Raw genomic sequence first — 19,313 nt, 5'->3', positions numbered from 1 at the left:
ATTTATGTGGCCATTCTATTCCAGAGCAAATTGGGAGACAAACATGAGAGGAATATATGGAGTTGAAATAAATGGAAAGCTTATAGGGTAGTCACCATCACACAAAACAAATTTGTACTTTCAGAAAATGTACTCAGCATGCTGTCTTGTTATATAAATGACCCTGTGTTTGTTGCACAAGTTCTAGTATGCAAAAATGTGGAAAGTCCTCCCTCCCTGATTCAGGAGGCACAGTGAAGTACAGGCATTTTCTTTACTTGTACTTGTAATTTTCTTTTCATCTTCTTTCTCCTCTTTCTTCTGCAGACATATTCGAGTGGTTAGCAGTCTATTTTTGAGACGTAAGAAGTGAAGATCAGACGTCTTCTCCAGTAACTCACCTTTAGCCAATCAAAGCACAGAGTAATGTCGCTCTTCTTTCCTTTCCCCTTTAGCAATGCATACCATATGCCAGTTAAAACTGTCTTTTCTCCTTCTCTCTCTCTTTCCGATATTTCACTACAAACAGAATCTCTTCTGGATTATTATTACCAATCGGTTCCATTTATGGATGATGAAAAACAGAAAGATGTACTCAGAATAGACATGCGGCAAATCACACAGTCCAAATGCCCAGAGTGAGGACATCGTGCTGCAAAGCAGTAATTCTCCTCGACAGACTTGGCCATACCAATCTTGACATTGGGCAAATTAGCCAGGCCAGGAGTGAATAAAAAGAGGAGACAGGTGTGAAATCACCTTCCTGCCTCCCAGGATGAATATGTTGCACACTGAAGTGCGATGCACCTGCACTATTGTTTCTGGGGAAAAAATAGCTTTTAAGAGCAAATACTCTTGAGCCTAGATGGAGACAAGCTACTCCTGTGTAATTTGAGTATAAATGGGTCCTTTTTTCCTTTTATGATGGTTTATATTGTGTTAACTCTTTGAGGAAATGGCTTTAAAGCTCAATTTAAACATTTAGCTGCTGCTTGCTTTAAATAGAGAGGGGCCAGGAGGCCAGAGGGGGATGTAATTTCTGGAATGGCTGCTATTCTTTAGGAACGCCTGCATCAGGGGATCCCACATGCTGTGCAGCAGAACCCAGCCCTGTGGTCAGAGCTCTATCCTGATTTCTTTGTGACTAGAAGTTAGAGGTAGTTGGTTTGGTTCTGTGCTCACCGTCCTCCTGGCTGTTATGGCATGGCCTCCATCCACCCAAAACCAGATCACATGCCGCAACGGCTGAGTACTGACAGTAGTAAGGTGACCCTCCTCAAAATAGAATCATTAACAGCAATGACAGGAACTCACACACATCCCTGCTTTTTTTCTATGCTGATTACTTCAATGTCTTTTTAAAATAAAATTTTGTATAATTTTTTTTTCTGGTGGTCTTATTTGCTTATGCCATAAACACACAAGGTAAAGGAAACCAAAAATATTTCACCCCAAATACACTTCTTTGACACATTTTGAGATGACTTTTCAGTGGGCCTGCAAACAAGAACAGCCCTGCAAAGCTGCCTTTTGTGGAGGAGATTTGCATCTGATCTGCCTTGGTGAAATAAACAGCCAGGCTTTCTCCCTTGGTCTGGACCTAGGAAAAATTAACTCAACCACAGGCTGCTACCTGTGGTTCTGAGAGCAGCTACCTGTGAGGTTTCATTTGCATAACAAGACCACCTTTGCCCCAGGTGTTTCCTCTTCTCTTCCTGCCATGACTGGTCTTGTTCATTCCAAGACACTAGTCTTTCTGTAATCATTCTGCCCTTTCTTTGAGTTTCATATTTTTTTTTATAACTCCAGTGTTCATATGTGCACATAATATATTTGTATGCTTTTTTTTCTGTTACTCTATTATCAGTTTGTTTTATAGACTTAAATTATGAAAACTTCAGGGGAAAAATCTAAAGTTGTCTACAAAGCCTGGCACCCACTGGGTACTCTGGGGTGCCCCACACCTAGATCCCCACCTTGGCGCTGGCTGGAGCACCCTGCAGTGAGGCCCCAACCCTCTCACCATCCCTTGTTCTCTGCCAGTCCTGTCTCCTGGCCTCCCCCGTGCTCTGCCCTGCCCTGAGCTGAGGCAGGGAGGTGGGGATAGAGACGAAGCAGCTGCAAATTCATATTTATTAAGTCAAGCGAGTTCTTCAAAATGAATAATGATCTGCTAAAACAGTTTTGAAAATGGGCTTTCTTCTGACTTTTTTTTTTTTTTTTGCTAGATCATAGTTTCTGCCTGGGCCATGGTCCTGCCTCCCTCTGGTAAGTTCTTGATCTAGAGACTGGAATTTTGTTCCTGAAAACTCTCAGCTTTCTGAGGTCAGCAGAGGAGGGACACCTCTGCTGACCTCAGCTTCTAAGTGTGACCTTGCCATGTAGTTTGCTTTGATAGATTCCTTGGAATTCCACTGCCAACTCCTGGCCTAGAATTCCACTGCTCTAGCTGATGCCTTTGAACGCGTGTCTTGTCCATTAGAATGAACTCCTCCTTGGCTGGGAAAGCCACCCTAACACTTGCCAAGGTGAATGTAACAGAAAAACCAAACTCTGTAAAATATTTTAAAGAGGATTATTCTGAGCCAATACGAGTGACTGCAGCCTGGGGAAAACACAAACCCAAGAAGTTTTGAGTAAGTGGTCCCAAGGCAGTCAGATAACAATTTGGTTTTATACATTTCAGGAAGGCAGGAGCTACAGGCAAGGACAGAAATCAATGCCTGGAAGGTATACCTGGGTTTGGCAAAAATGGCAGAATATCTTGGAGAGTCAAAGTGCTTCCATGTTATAGGTTGATTCAGAGATTCTTTAATTTGCACTTGGTTAAAGAAGTGAGGCTCTATCTAAAACAGAGTCAGCAGAAAGGAATGCTATAAGTTAACCTAAGGATGTTATGTAGCAGGACTGATGGCCTGCAAGCGTGACTTAATCCTTGTCTGAAATAGCCTTAGGTTTTCTTTATAATTTGGTATTTTATTGCCACAAAGAATCTGTTTTGTCAGTTGTAGAGTCTCTATTTTAACATTGATGCTGGCCAGTGTGCCTGAACTCCAAAAGGGAGGGGGGATATAACAAGGCACATCTGACTTTTTCCCATCATGGCTGGGAATTCGGGTTTTTTTTAAGGTTTTTATGGAGTCCCCTTTACCAAGAGAGGGTCTGTTCAGTCAGTGAGGAGCTTAAAATTTTATTTTTAGTTTAAATGGACACACCCGGTACATGCTCAGAGCCGATACAGGAACCTATTCATGGTCAGGTACCACAGAGAAGATATAGGGTACCTGTTCACAGTCCACCCATATCTGCTCTGGAAACTAGGCCTAGCCTGGCAATGACTGAATAAGTAACAGATTGTTTGCTAAATACTTTACTTTGATGCTGTCTCATTTTCTGTAAATGCTATTACTGGGATAAATGAATTATAAATAAGGTCACAATGCTCTATTTGATAACATTCTCAAGCCAATCAACAAACATTCCCTGGATCTCCACCATGTGCTCGGCAGGGTGTTCAATCTTCAGGATGCACAAATGAAAAACAGGTCCTGTGTCCTAAGGACTTTAGAAACCAAAGCTGGGATGAAACATGCTCTACTTACAGGACACAAATACACAGCATGGCATGATGGTTTTTCTATGGCATCTTTTGGTGGCAACCTCACCTATTAGAAAAGTTTTTCTTTTTTCTCTTATATAAAATGAAGTGTTAGACTCCATGCTTTCCAAGATCTTTTATGTTTTAAAACTTTGTAATTCCAAGTGTCAATACAGTGATTTTTAAGGTGACCTAAGCATTTGGAGCAGCACTGTTCAATAGAACTTTCTATGATAATGGGAAAGTTCTGTATCTGTGCTATTCAGTATGGCAGCCTCTGGCCGCAGGTTATAGAGTATTGAAATGTGGCTAGTGGCCAAAGCAATCCTAAGCAAAAAGAACAAAGCTGAAGCATCACATTACCTGACCTCAAACTATACTATAAGGCTACAGTAACCAAAGCAGCATGGTTCTGATACAAAAACAGACACATGGCCCAGTGGAACAGAATAGAGAGCCCAGAAATAAAGCCATACAACTACAACCATCTGATCTTTGACAAAGTTGATGAAAACAAGCAATGGGAAAAGGAATCCCTATTCAATAAATGGTGCTGGGATAACTGGTTTGCTATATGCAGAAAAGTGAAATTGGACCCCTTCCTTAAACTATGTACAAAAATCAACTCTAGATGGATGAAAGACTTAAATGCAAAACATAAAACTATAAAAGCCCTGGAAGGTAATCTAGGAAATACCGTTCTGGACATAGGCCCTGGCAAAGATTTCATGACAAAAATTCCAGTAGGAATTAATTGCAACAAAAACAAAAATTGACAAATGGGACCTAATTAAACTAAAGAGCTTCTGTACAGCAAAAGAAACTATCAACAAAGTAAACAGATAACCTACAAAATGGAGAATATATTTGTAAACTATGCATCCAACAAAGATCTAATATCCAGAATATATAAGGAACTTAAACAAATTAACAAGCAAAAAATAAACAATGCCATTAGAAAGTGGGCAAAGGACTTTAACAGCCACTTTTCAAAAGAAGACATACATGTGGCCTGCAAGCACATGAAAAAATGTTCAACATCACTAATAATTACAGAAATGCAAATCAAAATTGCAATGAGATACCATCTCACTCCAGTCAGAGTGGCTATATTAAAAAGTCAAAAAATAACAGATGGTGATGAGGTTACAGAGAAAAGGGAATACTTATGCACCACTGGTGGGAATGTAAGTTAGTTCAGCCATTGTGGAAAGCAGTTTTGAGATATTTCAAAGACCTTAAAACAGAACTACCATTTGACCCAGCAATCCCACTATCGAATATAAATCATTCCACCATAAAGACAAATGCACACGTATGTTCATTGCAGCACTATTCACACTAACAAAGACATGGAATCAACCTAAATGCCCATCTACAGTAAACTAGATAAAGAAAATGTGGTACATACACACTGTGGAATGTTACACAGCCATAAAAATGATTATGTCCTTGGCAGCAACATGGATGGAACTGGAGGCCATTATCTTAAGCCAACTAATGCAGGAACAGAAAACCAAATATTGCATATTCATACTTATAAGTGGGAGCTAAACATTGGGTATACGTGGACACAAAGAAGGGAACAACAGATACCAGGGCCTACTGGAGGGTGGAGGTTGGGAGGAGACAGAGGTTTGAGAAACTACCTATTGGGTATTATGTTTACTACCTGGGTAATAATATAATCTGTACACCAAACCCCTGTGACATGCAATTTACCTACATAACAAACCTGCACATGTACTCCTGAACCTAAAATAAAAGTTAAAGAAAGTAAAAGCTAAAAAAAAAAAAGAAAAAAGAAAAAGAAAAGAAAAAAGAAATGTGGCTAGAACAACTGAGGAAATCCAATTTTGGATTCTATCAATTTTAATTAATTGACATTTAGATATAGTAGCCACATGTGGCTGGTGGATACCATATTGCATAGCACAAATGTAATGGAAGAGGGAGATAACATATAATATGCATTATTAAGAATGGGTAGAATTTCAACATGGAGAGGAGGGAAAGAACTTCCAACTAATATGTTTAAGTTTTCAAAAATACCTTTATTGTCCTCATTCAGGTGAACAACTAATAGTGGGGTTTCTGTTGCCCTGAAGAAAGCTGATTGTGAGATGGTTGGGTATTTTGGAATCATTCCCTTTGGCAAGATGAAAACTGACAGAGAGGACTCTCTTTAAAGAAACAGCAGATACCAATGTGTAACCCAAGCAATCCTTGCCTGCCTTTTGCTAGACTTGTCTAACTCCATGGAGCAAGACAGGGTCAGGACAGGAAGCCTGCCTCCCAAGGGTGAATTTTCAGGATGAAGTCTCTAGGATTTCTGCTGGCAGAATTGAGTTTATGCCATCTGTACCCCATTCCATTATGGCTGGAAAGAGCACTTGTTTGTGAATCAGGGAGAGTGGACTTTCAGTTGGACACACCCCTATTTAGGCGTGCAGCCTTAGCAAAGAGCCTCAATTTTTTCTACTCCTGGTTCACTCATTTGGAAAATAAGGATCTCTAAGGCCTTTTACTCAACTCCAAGATTATGAGAACATTCTTTTAGGCCTAAGCTAAAGAATCAGTATCTTTGACATGGGGGCTATAGGGTTCCAGTCTCAAGGTCTTCATTGATCTTTGCATCCATTATTGCTGACACTTCAGAGACATGAGAATCAAAAGGCTTGGACGCTAATACAAGTTTCTACATCTGATGTGGTCTTCAGTAAGTTATGTGAGGGCCCTACTCTGCTATCATATCTGCAATGTAAGGGAATGTAATAATTTTCCAGAGTTGTTGTAATATTAAACAGTGCAACTCCTAACAGACCATTGAGTACTAGCATGGAGATGCTCAATTAGTAATTCCTCTATCCCAACCTCCTGCCTAGGAAAGGAGGCTCAACATTATATTATTTTTTTTCCTAGATAATAAAAGGCATTTTAAGGTTAGGGACCAAAATATCTTTCCTAAAATCTGATATGGTCTACTTGAACAGTATTCATGGAAGTCAAGCTTTTCCATTTAAAAAGACAGAGGGAAAAAAATATCTGCAAAATACCTTTCAATGTTTGCTGTGCTTGCCATGAGGAATCTGAGATTTGAAGACACATTTGTACCATTTTATCTTTTACTGTCCTGCTAGTGCGGTAGTATAACAGCATCAAAGTAACATGATACCAGAGAATGACCATTTGAAATGAGCCAGTTTCTCCAACTTACATTTCTCAGGAAACACCATTGCCTCACTTTTATACCTTGTGTGTGAGGATGGGCGGGGAAGCATTGGCCAAGGAACAGGTTCACTTTGTTCTCTCGTGTTATGAGCCAACTGGGACAGAAGGGTCAATTTGAATCTCCTCTCCTTCGAAGTCAAAATGGCGCCCTCAGCTGAAAATATGCACCGCTCTTTTTATTCATGCTGCTAGTGAAATCTAGTGAAATGAGAGAAAATTGAATAAAGGTACACAGGGCAGTTACCATACTTCTGTAATTTCCCCTGAATTGCTCACAAAGTGACTATTATTCTCCTCCCATTAAACATGGGGCCATCTGGGGCATAGATATGCAAGAAAGATTACAATCTGACTGCATGGAACCTATTCTTTAACATGGATTCATGCTTTTGTATTGTGTGGAAAACAGAAAGATTTTCTGAACTTCTATGGGAGCATCCCAGCATCTTTATCTCTTTCACATCTGCCACTGCGTGGAATTGATGGTAATCGTGGTTATTATTATGGTGTCTTCCTCCACTTAAAACAAGGCCATCTGGGGTTTGTGTGGTAGGGGATGGATTAGCATTTTTTTTTCAAGTGCTCCTCTCCTTTAGTAAATATATTTTACGGAAATTATTTCAGAGAAAGGATTATGATAATAATGATTATAACACTAATAATAGGGTTATTTTGTGAGATCTCCTTTAAAAAAAAAAAGCCTCTAGTAAGCATAATCTGCAGCAGGCAAGGCCAGGAGTTGAACACCTGGGCTGGCCTCTGGGAGCAGCCTCGAGCAGTTTCCTTGGTGTTGCAGGCTGTCTGAGCAAACCGGCGAAGAGGGCACTGACTCGGAAATCTGGCAGCGGAGGATGGTGGAGAGACCACTGGACGTGTCAAGTGGCTGGTCCAAATTCCAGCTCTGTCAGCTCCTGGCTCTTGGTCCGTGGGAGAGCTTGAAATAATCTCAATTTTCCTGTTTGTAAGAAAATAAAATAAGGAACTAGTACATCCGTTTAAGGGTTGTTGGGAGAACTAAATCAAATAATGTGTGCGAGAGCATTTCACATAGAGCTTCGTATGTAGTCTTAATAAATATTGAAGTTTAAAACTCTAGTGTCAGGCCTCTGAGCCCAAGCCTGCACATATTCATCCAGATGGGCTGAAGCAAGTGAAGAATCACAAAAGAAGTGAAAATGGCCGGTTCCTGCCTTAACTGATGACATTACCTTGTGAAATTCCTTCTCCTGGCTCATCCTGGCTCAAAAACTCCCACACTGAGCACCTTGTGACCCCCGCCCCTGCCAGCCAGAGAGCAACCCACTTTGACTGTAATTTTCCTTTACCTACCCACATCCTATAAGACGGCCCCACCCCATCTCCCTTCGCTGACTCTCTTTTCAGACTCAGCCCGCCTGCACCCAGGTGAAATAAGCAGCATTGTTGCTCACACAAAGCCTGTTTGGTGGTCTCTTCACACGGACACATGTGGAATCTAGAATATTAGATAGAGTGCTTTGCAATTTCCAACTGAAGTGGGTTTTCAGTTTCCTTATTTTTGACGAATTAGCACCACAGCAATTAATATTAAAATCGATGTGATCGCATATCTCCTTTAGGGTACACAATTAGCTTAAGCCATCTTAAATGCCAAGAGACTGAGCAAATCTGAAACCTTATTTAAATTAATATTAACACGTGCCTATAAAGTGGTGATGTAGAGTGATAAGGGTAGAATTTGGAGTCACGTAAAACGGGTTTGAATTGCTAACAGCTTGACCTTGCACGAGCCATTAGTTTATCTTCCCAGTGTCCTTATTTACAATGTCTCTGTCAGGAAAGTATGTCACATATTTGTAAAAAGAATTAAGTTACATAATTCAACTAATGTAGAATCTGTTACACAGTAAGCACTTAATAAATGCTAGTTTTCATATATGCATGTAAATGACCAATTAAAAATATACATCGAGAGAGTGTTGTGTATGTGTCCATGTGCATGCGCTTCTCTGTCCCACTTTTATTCAGTTCTCATTTCTACCATTCCAATATAGCTTTGTCTTTTTCTCCCACTGAAATTGTGTGTCCACTGGTGTGACTGCTGTTTAATGGCTTGACGTCATGGAAGGCATAACCTGCTGTGGCATCTCAGCTCTGCCTTTTTCCAAAGGATACCATTTCCTCTGCCTTCCACTCTATTACTCTGCATCCCTATCTGAAATTTCTTCTTCTTTCTGAAATTCCGCCCCACTTTGTCATGCCCGTCTTTAAAAGGTAGATTTAAAATGGTTGTATACATGAGAAACCAGACTTTGGAGGACACTGAACTAAATAAAGGTACATTGTTTCCTAATAACATATGTTAGACTATATTTTTACTTAAGAAAATTTTCTTTTAAGATATAAACCCAAATCTGTTTCTTTATACAAATATTTATTTTCCTCTGTTGTGTAGGCACATGCCTTGGATATTATAGCACTGTCTAGAATAGCATATTTTCATCTCTTTAGCAAACTTATAAAACATAAGAGCCTGGAATCGTATATTCCTGGCATCTCTTCCAAGATGAAAGGCACTTCTCTTACTGAAGCTATGAACTCTGGATCCTGGCTTTGACATAGGTCTGATTAGACACTTCTGAGATATCTGAACTGGAAGGGGCCATGAGTGTCCTGTGGGTGTTGGGCTATTTTCCTGCATATCGTCCTTCACTCTTCCCAAGCTCTGCTGTGAATCTCAGGTGGGCTCACCCCTCTGGGCTACCTTTCCCAGGCTCCCAGGTGAGCTCAGTTTGGACAATGAGAAGCTCTAGAGGGACATTGGAAGGTGGGAGGAAGGGAGAAGCCAAGCTCATTCTCTCTTCCTCCTAAGATGGGAGCCCCCATAGTGACTGCATCTCCTACCAGAGATGCCCTCCATGAACCAAATTTTCACCTGGTGACACTGACCTCTGTGGTCTCACAACTACAGACCTTTCTTTCTCTCCTGCATCCTAGGCTAGGGAGTGGCTTCCTGTGCCTGATTGCTTGGTTCCCTCATCATTCCATGTTTGGATTTTTCAGCTCTCCCATTGCCTATGTAAACCGTTTCCTATATTGATCTCCTCTCTTTGAAACAGAGTGGCTTTCTTTCTTATTTGAAACTTGATTGATACAAGTGTCCTATTGTCTAGGGCTTTGCAAGCTCTTCTCCTCAGTACCATAGGGTTTTTTCAGAGCTCCTTACGGCCTCCTGCTGACTCAAGAGGGGAAAGGGCAAAAAAGCAGCAGTGGTGCGGCCACTGTAGCTGTGCAGATACAGCAACCTGTCAGAAATGGTTCCTGCATGCAAGAAGCTCACAGTTTAGTAGAAATAACTCTCATGCATTTGTGAATCTGTGACGTTTATGTTGGACTGAAATGTGACTTCTGATCTCATTGTCTGAGGAAGGTTTTTTCTTGCTAAAGATATGAATGACTGAATCAATCAATCAATCAATCAACCAGTGGGGAAAGAGCATTGTATCAGTTGCCATGGGATTTTGCCTATGCGTCAGTAGGGATAAAATGCACAGGGAAAGAGCATTGCATGAATGAATGAAGAAATGAACAAACAAACAGAGAAAGAAGGCTGTATCAGTAGCCAAGGGTTCTTGTCTAAACTCCGCTATTAATTTGCAAGTTTCCTTTGGGGAAGTCCCTCCTCCTTCCTGGGCCTGTTTTCTCATCTATATAATGACGAGTTTTTACCAGGAAAATAGGTTTCATTGTGAATGTGAAATGTGACAGTTGATAGTAGTTTCTTGTTTACTCTAATGCGAAGGGTGTGGCTGAGGCCCTGGAGCCTTGGTGGACAAAAGTATCATGCCTGTGTGAGCCCGGGGCGGGGACACTGTATATCCTCGTGGATGGGTACTGTCTAAGGGCAGACTGGTCAGATGTTCTGTTTCTCCATTTTAACTGACTAATTGGCAAATAGCCTCATCTGAGGCTTTCTCCGCATACAGAGGTGAGTGGAAATTACTGTTGCTCAGGATGAAAGAACATGATCTTTACTGAATTGCAGCATGAAGGATTCCTCCCCACTGTAACTGCCCATTTGCCTATCTGTCTTCCACACTAAAGTGAGAGTTTCTTGGAGATAAGGATGATTCATTGGCACTGGTAGATCCTCAATATCTAATACAGGTGTAACTTAGGCTACATAGTGGGAATTGTTCGTTAGATTTGATGTATGTGACGCAAATCGTGGAATGTATCTGCAGATAAGCCAGGGGCCAAGGCTGCACATAAATATGAAGGTCAGTATCAAGTGGCCTCTGTCTTAGCCAGTAGAGCCCAAAAAGCAGAGCTTCAGGCAGGGTGTGGATGCAGGTCACTTATTTTGGAAAGTGGAATCGGAAAAGAGTAATATAAGAAAGGAAGTAGAGGTAAACTAGGGGTGTTTACCAAGCTGATTACTGCCGGTGGTGACTGGGGATACCTGGGGGATCCCCCACAGTGCAAGGGTTGGACAAGGGTATATTTATGAACTATCTTCCATCCTCCTTTGTTTAAGGGTTGCCCCCTGGGGTATGAACTTTCTCGGACTTCTAGATTAGTCCAGGCATCAGGAAGACTGGGGAGTTGCCTTACGACTCCCACTTGGCAGTGACGGAGAAGCCCTAGGGCAGAAAGCAAGAAGTGGCAAAGTGTGCACCTAAGTAGCAAAATGTGCTAAACGTGGTTTCAACAGCAATGAGGGAATTTAACAACATGGACAGAGAGAGAGGGTGAGAAGGATCACAGGAGAGGTCTGACACAAAAGCTTAAGGTGAGTCTTCTTTAGTTCTTTGGAGGTGACCGTAGGGAGTTGAGGACACCAATATCCATTTTTCTTTTGCATTTCATATCACCAGAGCTGCTGCAGCTCAAAGACAGAGTAGATGCACAGAGCCACTGGCATTGCTCTCCAAAGCTGCTGTCTAGTGCCCTTGGCGATAGGCCAGGAGGTCTCCTGGGGCTCAAGCTGTCTGAGCCTGGGCCACATTGCTACAGAGCTTAGATAAGACTCCATGGAGACAGGAACACCCAGGTCCATCTTTACAACTCACATGCACTCAGCTCTTCAGGACTTGAGGCTGCCTCATCTGAACTTGGGTCACCTCTATGGACTCTCATTGGCTCACTGTCATTGGCCAGCCATCCAACATCTCACAAAGCTGTTGCAATGCTGGCAGGGTGGGGTTGGTGCAAGGGCTGAGAGACAGGCCAAAGGAATCAAAACTATGAATGGGTGGGAGCAACAGGACTGTGGCTCACAGCTGTGTTGCACAACCTATATGCTGATGACAAAACCACAACATTAATTTAAAAATGGAAGAGAATGTCTGTGTGATTGAGGGAAGGGGAGAACTTTCAACAATTTCCAGAGCACTAAATATGAGGCAAAGATTGGTTAATTTGATTACCTCAAAATTAAGGTTTTCTGTTCAAAATGAGAAGAGGGAAAATAATTTAAATGTCTGAAATTGGCAAGAGATTAATATCTGTATTACAAAAGGAATTCCTAACAAGCACATGAAGAAACTTTTTAGTCATTAATAATTAGATAAACAAGACATACAGAAAGCTATGACTCCAAGCCTATTAGGCTGCTGAGAAAACCACAAAGGGTGTAAAAGATGATCATATCAAAGGTTGACAGAGATGTGCAATACAGGAATATGTTCTAGGAGGATACAGGTGGGTGCAGTCACTTTGAAAACCAACCTGATAGTAATCAATCAACTGAAGTATAGATACATCTTACAACTCCAGAAATTCTTTCCCCACGTACACAGCCCTCAGAAATCCTTCCACATATCCATGAGAAGACTTGCACAAGGATGTTTATTGAACACAGTTAGTGATGCCAGCCAGCTGCGACTTCCTGGGAGGAGGTGGTTCAATTGTAGACAGACATTGTGGAGGAGTGAGCAGCAGTTTGGGGCACAATTTGGGTGCTTTGGTGTCCTACAATCTCATGAGAGATCTTAAAAATGTGGTACTTAATGAAAATGTAAGAAGAACAGGGAGAAGACTGACACAGTGACAATTATTTCAATACTACCCATTTTAAAAAAGAAAGACACCCGTCATATAATATTAAAATTGTTGATAAGGGGAAGTAGAAATGTATTATGAAGATAAAAGTGAATAAATAATGAAACGAGAATCTCGCATGACCAGTGATAATGATGTACAGTAAACTGAAGAGTGTGTGTGTTTAACTCCATCATTTGCATTTCTGTGTTTGAGGTTAAAAATCAATATATAATTGTATAAAGTTCTCTACTTTTTTTGTTGGTTTTTATCTTTCAAATTTTATTTTTACTATTTTTTTATTTATTGATTTTAAGAGAAAGGATCTCACTATGTTGCCCAGGCTGGTCTCGAACTCCTGGGCTCACATGATACTCTTGCCTAGGCCTATCAAAGTGTTTAGATTACAGGCATAAGCCAATGCACCTGGCCCTATAACTCTCTATTTAACCTAACTATAATATTAAGGAGACATAAAAGGAAACTAATATATAAAATAATAAGTATATGGAGATACATAATGCTCTGACCCAAATTCCGAATTCTTTTGTATTTGAGAGTTACAATTGCAGATGATACAGGAGTTGCAGAGGGCCCTCAAATATCACCAGCAGTGTCTCAGTGAGGTTGTGATTTTTCAGTTTTGTGGCTGTTGGTAAAATCCCCAATAACACAAAGCATATTCTACTTTTGAATTAAAAAGTAGCGGTGTTCTTGGAAAATTAGTAGGTATTAAAGCTGTGCAAAGAAAATTGTGTGTTTCTATTTGTAAACTATAATTAAATTCTAGATTCAAATAATTTTTAAAAGCTTTTCCACTCACATGAATATCAGGTGAGGGATGTGAAAGTTGCATAAAATAAAGAGAAGTTTTTATGGCACATAATTGTCCTATAAATTGGAGGGCATCTGGCATCCAAACAAATGCCAGTAAATCCCACCCCCAAAGGTTGTGACAAAAGGATACACCCAAATACTGATGATTTCTCCTAGGAGGGGATACAGTCTTCATTGATCTCTATTGGGAATATAAAATTCAGAGTGACTCTAGTGGAAATCCAATTTCTTTTACTCTATATGGTAAAACTTCTATAATCTTCAGGTTTTAGAATTTGACTTTATATGGTATCTTGAAAGCGAAGGTTAGAAAAAAGGTAAAATCTCTTATAAAATGATTTGTAGGAGATGAGAATTTCATTTAAATTGACCTGAATGAGGTAAGCCTTGGTGGTCTCTGGTATGCTACAATCATCGATATAACAACGGAAGCAATGAATACCTGGTTATTTCCCAGGGAAAACCCCCAATCCTGGTTCAGTTGGAAATAACTCACGGCACATGAGAAAAGCTAAAATAATGATTAATTAGAACATGACTATGGGGAAGCTATGAACATGTTGTTATAATAGCAGCAATTTTTGCTTTACTTATTGAAAAGTCACATGGATTATAATAACTACTCTTGGTCTGATATTGGTTTCCTTTCATATTTTCCAAACTTTTAAAAAAGAGGATTCTATTTTCAAATGAGCTATTAGGTATATCTGTAAAATGTAAAGCAGATGAAAGATAAAATCAGTATTTTGTAATGCAAATATATTTTATAAGCTCAAATTTATAACATTTTCTTATTATAATATCAAGTAATTACAAAATGAGGCAGTTTTTTGGCTTAATTGAAATCAGGGTTATGGATGATAGCCCAGTCTGATTGTTAGCATTTGATTTATCCTGGATTTTTGCTGCGACTGTACAAGATTAAAATATCCTGATTCATTATACATAGGTGGTTGCAATTTCTTTTTAAGTTTGCCTTGCATTCTCAAGACTTAATGTATAAATCTGTTGCCAAAGCCTAAAATATAAATGATAAAATTGTCATTTAAAAATTAAACATATCATCAGCAATATGAAACTTCTCTTGTAGCCAAACCATAGTACCTGTTCTTGTAGTGAACACATAAATCCAAAAGCTAGACAGATAGTAAAACCAACTAAACTAAACCAAACCAAACAAAGAGAGAAATCACTTAAGCCCTGAAACTAACTGCATTAGGACACATCACATAGAGGTGTGTCATATTAATATGTTCTCTTTTTTTTTTTTTTTTTTTTTTGGATGGAGTCTTGCTGTGTCTCCCAGGCTGGAGTGCAGTGCAGTGGTGTGATCTCAGCTCACCAGGCAGCCTCTGCCTCCTGGGTTCCAGCATTTCTCCTGCCTCAGCCTCCCAGGTAGCTGGGATTACAGGCATGCACCACCACGCCTGGCTAATTTTTGTATTTTTATTAGAGATGGGGTTTTACCATGTTGGCCAGCCTGGTCTCGAACTCCTGACCTCAGGTGATCCACCTGCCTCAGCCTCCCAAAGTGCTAGGATTACAGGCTTGAGCCACCGTGTCCGGCCCATATGTTCTTTTATTTCACAGATTGTAATGAAACTGGGGCAGGAGCACGAGTCATTCACAGGTGCCTGAGCCTTGCCTGGCACTGATGGAAGAAGACCCATAGCTGTGACAGTACCCAGTACACACTTGGATTTCAGGTAAGCACGGATCCTTGTGGAAGTTTGAGTCTTCTCAAGGTCAATGGAGACCTAGAATCTTTTTCTTCAATCATTTACCTGATATGAATTTAGACATATTCACAGAATACATGAAAAAAGATGTTCAGATCTGTTTTAAAATAGGGTATCCTAGTACTACAAATAAATGCATTGGACCAGTATGTTAAAATCTGATGCAGAACTGCACTGTTTTAAAATTGTTAAATATGAATATTAAACATAAAATTCTGAGATGCCATTTACACAGCTGAAAGCAATCATTTGTAGAATCTGTCCTATTTAAAAGTAACTGCATTTTTAAAGAGATAGTTAGATGTTTCTAGTTAGAAACATATTCTTAGTACCAAAGCACAGAAGAAGCTAGAAACAAACAGACTTCATGGCTATCGATGAGTTTCCACTCCCTGGCTGCCATTCCCCTGATTGTTTTGGTTCTTAATCTTCTTATGCCCTATAATGATATTCATCATCTTTTAATGTACTGAATAAGGTAGTTTTGAGGATCCAGTAATCACTTTTTGTGGGAGTGCTTTGATAAGACATTTCAAGCCTTCTCTGCCTCTTACAGATGTGTAATTTGCCTTGTAAACAAGATCCGGGCTTTGCATGCTCGTTGTAAGACAGTAGGTGTCATTCTAAGATAGACATGTCATTCCAAAAGGAAGTTTAATTATAAGACAGCCATGCTTAAGAAATCTTACAATATTTTATGACCTATTGAATTCTAAAGTATTAACTACTTATAAAAATTCACTTTTTTAATAAGTAAAAGAAGAAAAATCACTCCCACTAACCACACTCACAGACACCCAAAGTAAACAATTTGATTCATTTCCTACCCATCTTTTATTTCCTTATTTATAGCTCTACTTTTGAGCATGCTCATATTTATACTTTTAATTTCACTATTTTGTCTTAATGTTATAAACAAATATTTTCCCATATGAAACTGTAGATTTTTATAACTCCAACTTCAGAGCAAACAATAAGCTGTCTTATTTTACCCAAAGACAACATATCTGACTCCCATCTCTACCTTTACCCTTCTCCGACTGTCTCTGTCTGTTAACATAATTTTTTTAAAGTTTATAAATAAGGAATGGTGAGATTTGGGAAAAGAAAACTTTCAAGAGTAGTCAGTAGGTACTTAGTACTATCTAAAATACAGGCTGAGAATTTCTGGAGCATATTAAGCCTCATTCATTGTTAGACGTATTTCAATATCCATGGATCAATGTTGTTAGTACCAAAGGCCATGTGTGTGAGCCATTAGAGTTGTAGGGGCAAGACTTCACTAGAAGGAAACATAAAAGCAAAACAACAGGACTGTCAATGGAGATAACACAACTGGAGAGGAAGGCTGTCTCCCACAGTGGTTGTTGTGGGCTGAATTCTGTTCTCCAAAAATTCATATGTTGAAGTGCTAACAGTGCCACAGAATGTGACTGTATTTAAGAAGAGTCTTTAAAGGGGTAACTAAGGTAAAATGAGGTGATTGGGATGGTCTCTAATTCAATATGACTTGTATCCTTATAAGAAGAGATCAGGACACAGACACACACAGAGGGAGGACCATGAAAAGTCCCAGGGAGGAGATGGCCCTCTAGGAGACAAAGAGAGAGACATCAGAATGAAATCCAACTGACGGCACCTTGATCTTGAACTTCGACCCTCCAGAACTGTGAGACAAGAAATTTATGTTGTTTTAAGCCACCTGGTTTGTGGGACTTTGTATGTCCTAGCAAATTAATACAGTGGTTGAACACTGGGAAGCCAGAGTTTCCAGGTGGCATCTCAGCTCCATCCTTAATAGCTCTGTTCCTGACTCCATCCACCCTGCCCTCTGGTTTACCATCTGTAATTGGTGTTAAGGATACCTACACCTACCTATTGCTTGGGGTTTCATGAAGATGGAGTGAAGGTATCTAAAGTATTTAGAACCATACCCAACCTATAGTCAATGCTACGTAAGTTTCAGTTTTTGTTATTTTACTAATATCAGTATAATAGAAATAACATGGACTTTGGCTTTGCACACGCCAAAGTTTAAATCTTAACTCTGCTACTAACTACCTATCTCTTACTGAGACTCATCTCATTTGAAAAATGAAAGAATAATTTGCTCATGTGGATGCTGGGAGAATTAAATGTGCAATGGACAGGAAGAGCTGAAGATTTCAGCACAATAAATATCGTCCCTTTACCCAGCCCTCTACTCTATGCCAAGCTGACCAACAGGGCCATATGGTTGAAGAGAGAGGTATGGATGAAAAACAAAAATTTTGCAGCTATCACAGGCATTTCTAAATGATGCGAGTCAGAAAAAACAATTGATGGAGGAAATGGTGGCTGGCCAGGACAATCCCAGCAGCTCAATGCCTGGACACCCCACTTTAGGGGTGAATAAAAGTCACACTCACCTGGATTTCTCACCCTATTTTTCTTATCATTGGTCTCAGGATTCAACATGTATTTTTCCAACAGAAGCCCACAATTGCTCCATAGGCTAAGTGGCAACTCTGCTTCATAGCTGATTGTCCACATGAATAGCCAGTGTCACTGGAGCCCTTGTATTTAAGATTTTTTCCTACACGGTTATGATTTAAGGGTTTATTTCTCTATCTCATGACACAGCCTCTGCTTTAGATATCTTCCATGATAAGTACATAATTCTTTCTTTGTGGCCTAGAAGGAAGAAGATCGAATTACAAACAGAAGCCCTGCTGCCCAGTTGTTACTTCCTTATAATACAATTATTTCTTTTTTGTTTGTTTTTGTTTGAGATGGGATCTCACTTTGTTGCCCAGGCTGGAATGTAGTGGCACCATCATAGCTCACCGCAGCCTGGAACTCGTGGGCTCAAGCAATCTTCCCACCTTTGACTCCCAAGTTGCTGGGACCACAGGTGCATGTCATCATGCCCGGCTAATTTTTAAATTTTTTGTGGAGATGGGGTCTCACTATGTTGCCCAGGCTGGTCTCAAACTCCTGGGCTCAAACATTCCTGCCATCTTGGCCTCCCGAAATGCAGGCACAGGTCACTATACTGGCCCAATTATCTGTCATTATTCTAAAACATTTGTTGAGTACTTCACAAGTGCCAAGCTTATGCAGGCAATTTCACATGTGTGATCGCATTGAATTGTCATGACTTACTAGGACACTGTTACGATAACACATATTAGAAATATAGAGACTGACATGCAGAGAGGTGTTGCTCTCCCAGGACCTGAGAACAGGTATCTGAGGAGCCAGGTGCACACCCACCCTGTCCACCTTCGGCTGCTTTATACCCATCATGTCTCACTCCTTTCATAAGACATACCTTGGCTTATCTCCCTGCTTTATCTGGCCTTAAATCTCCAGTGGAATTCCTATCAAAATGATTCACAAAGAAGTAATTTTCACCCAGTAAAAACTGCACTGAAATTTTGGGGAAATGATGTTATAACCAGACATATTTTGCTTTAATGTCCCTGCCTACAGTTTTAGTTCTGTGTTTTCTTTCTAACCAGCAACCTTGGCCCTTGAGTTTCTTCAGTTTTATTACTCTGAAGTATTTGTCCACGGTCTCTCTCTGCTGGCTCCTGCTCCTCCCACCTCAAGCTTTCTCTCTCCCAAGCTGTAGTAACTTCCCTCCTTGAGGAATGTGCCCTGTCTGTTGAAATCCCTTGCCTGAGTCAATGGTGTGGATTTGCAGTCATCAGTTCCCCCCAGTTGAAGATGGAATATTCTCTGAGCTCCTTCACAGGCTGCACCCAGCTTTTTGTTCTGACACTGATGTGAGTGGTAATGGCTGAGACTCAGAACATTAGTCCACACTTGGGACCCCAAGAATCAGGGGTGTGGCTCTCGGGGCAAGAGAGAAGTGCAGATAGAGTTCCAGCAGGGCCCCAACTGGCATGGTGCAGACTTTGAAA

General features: G+C 40.3%; 1 annotated feature.

Annotated features, from left to right (window-relative positions):
- Positions 1,303-1,894: an enhancer, noted in NCBI's record as "OCT4-NANOG-H3K4me1 hESC enhancer chr2:7843093-7843684 (GRCh37/hg19 assembly coordinates)". NCBI's record gives its function as "activates a minimal SCP1, AML or CMV promoter by ChIP-STARR-seq in naive H9 embryonic stem cells {active_cell/tissue: H9 hESC(naive)}" and the evidence as "EXISTENCE:reporter gene assay evidence [ECO:0000049][PMID:30033119]".

Source organism: Homo sapiens, chromosome 2 (genome assembly GCF_000001405.40).
Source record: "Homo sapiens chromosome 2, GRCh38.p14 Primary Assembly".
NCBI classification, from domain to species: domain Eukaryota; kingdom Metazoa; phylum Chordata; class Mammalia; order Primates; family Hominidae; genus Homo; species Homo sapiens.
This window is presented reverse-complemented; position numbering and strand designations above follow the sequence as displayed.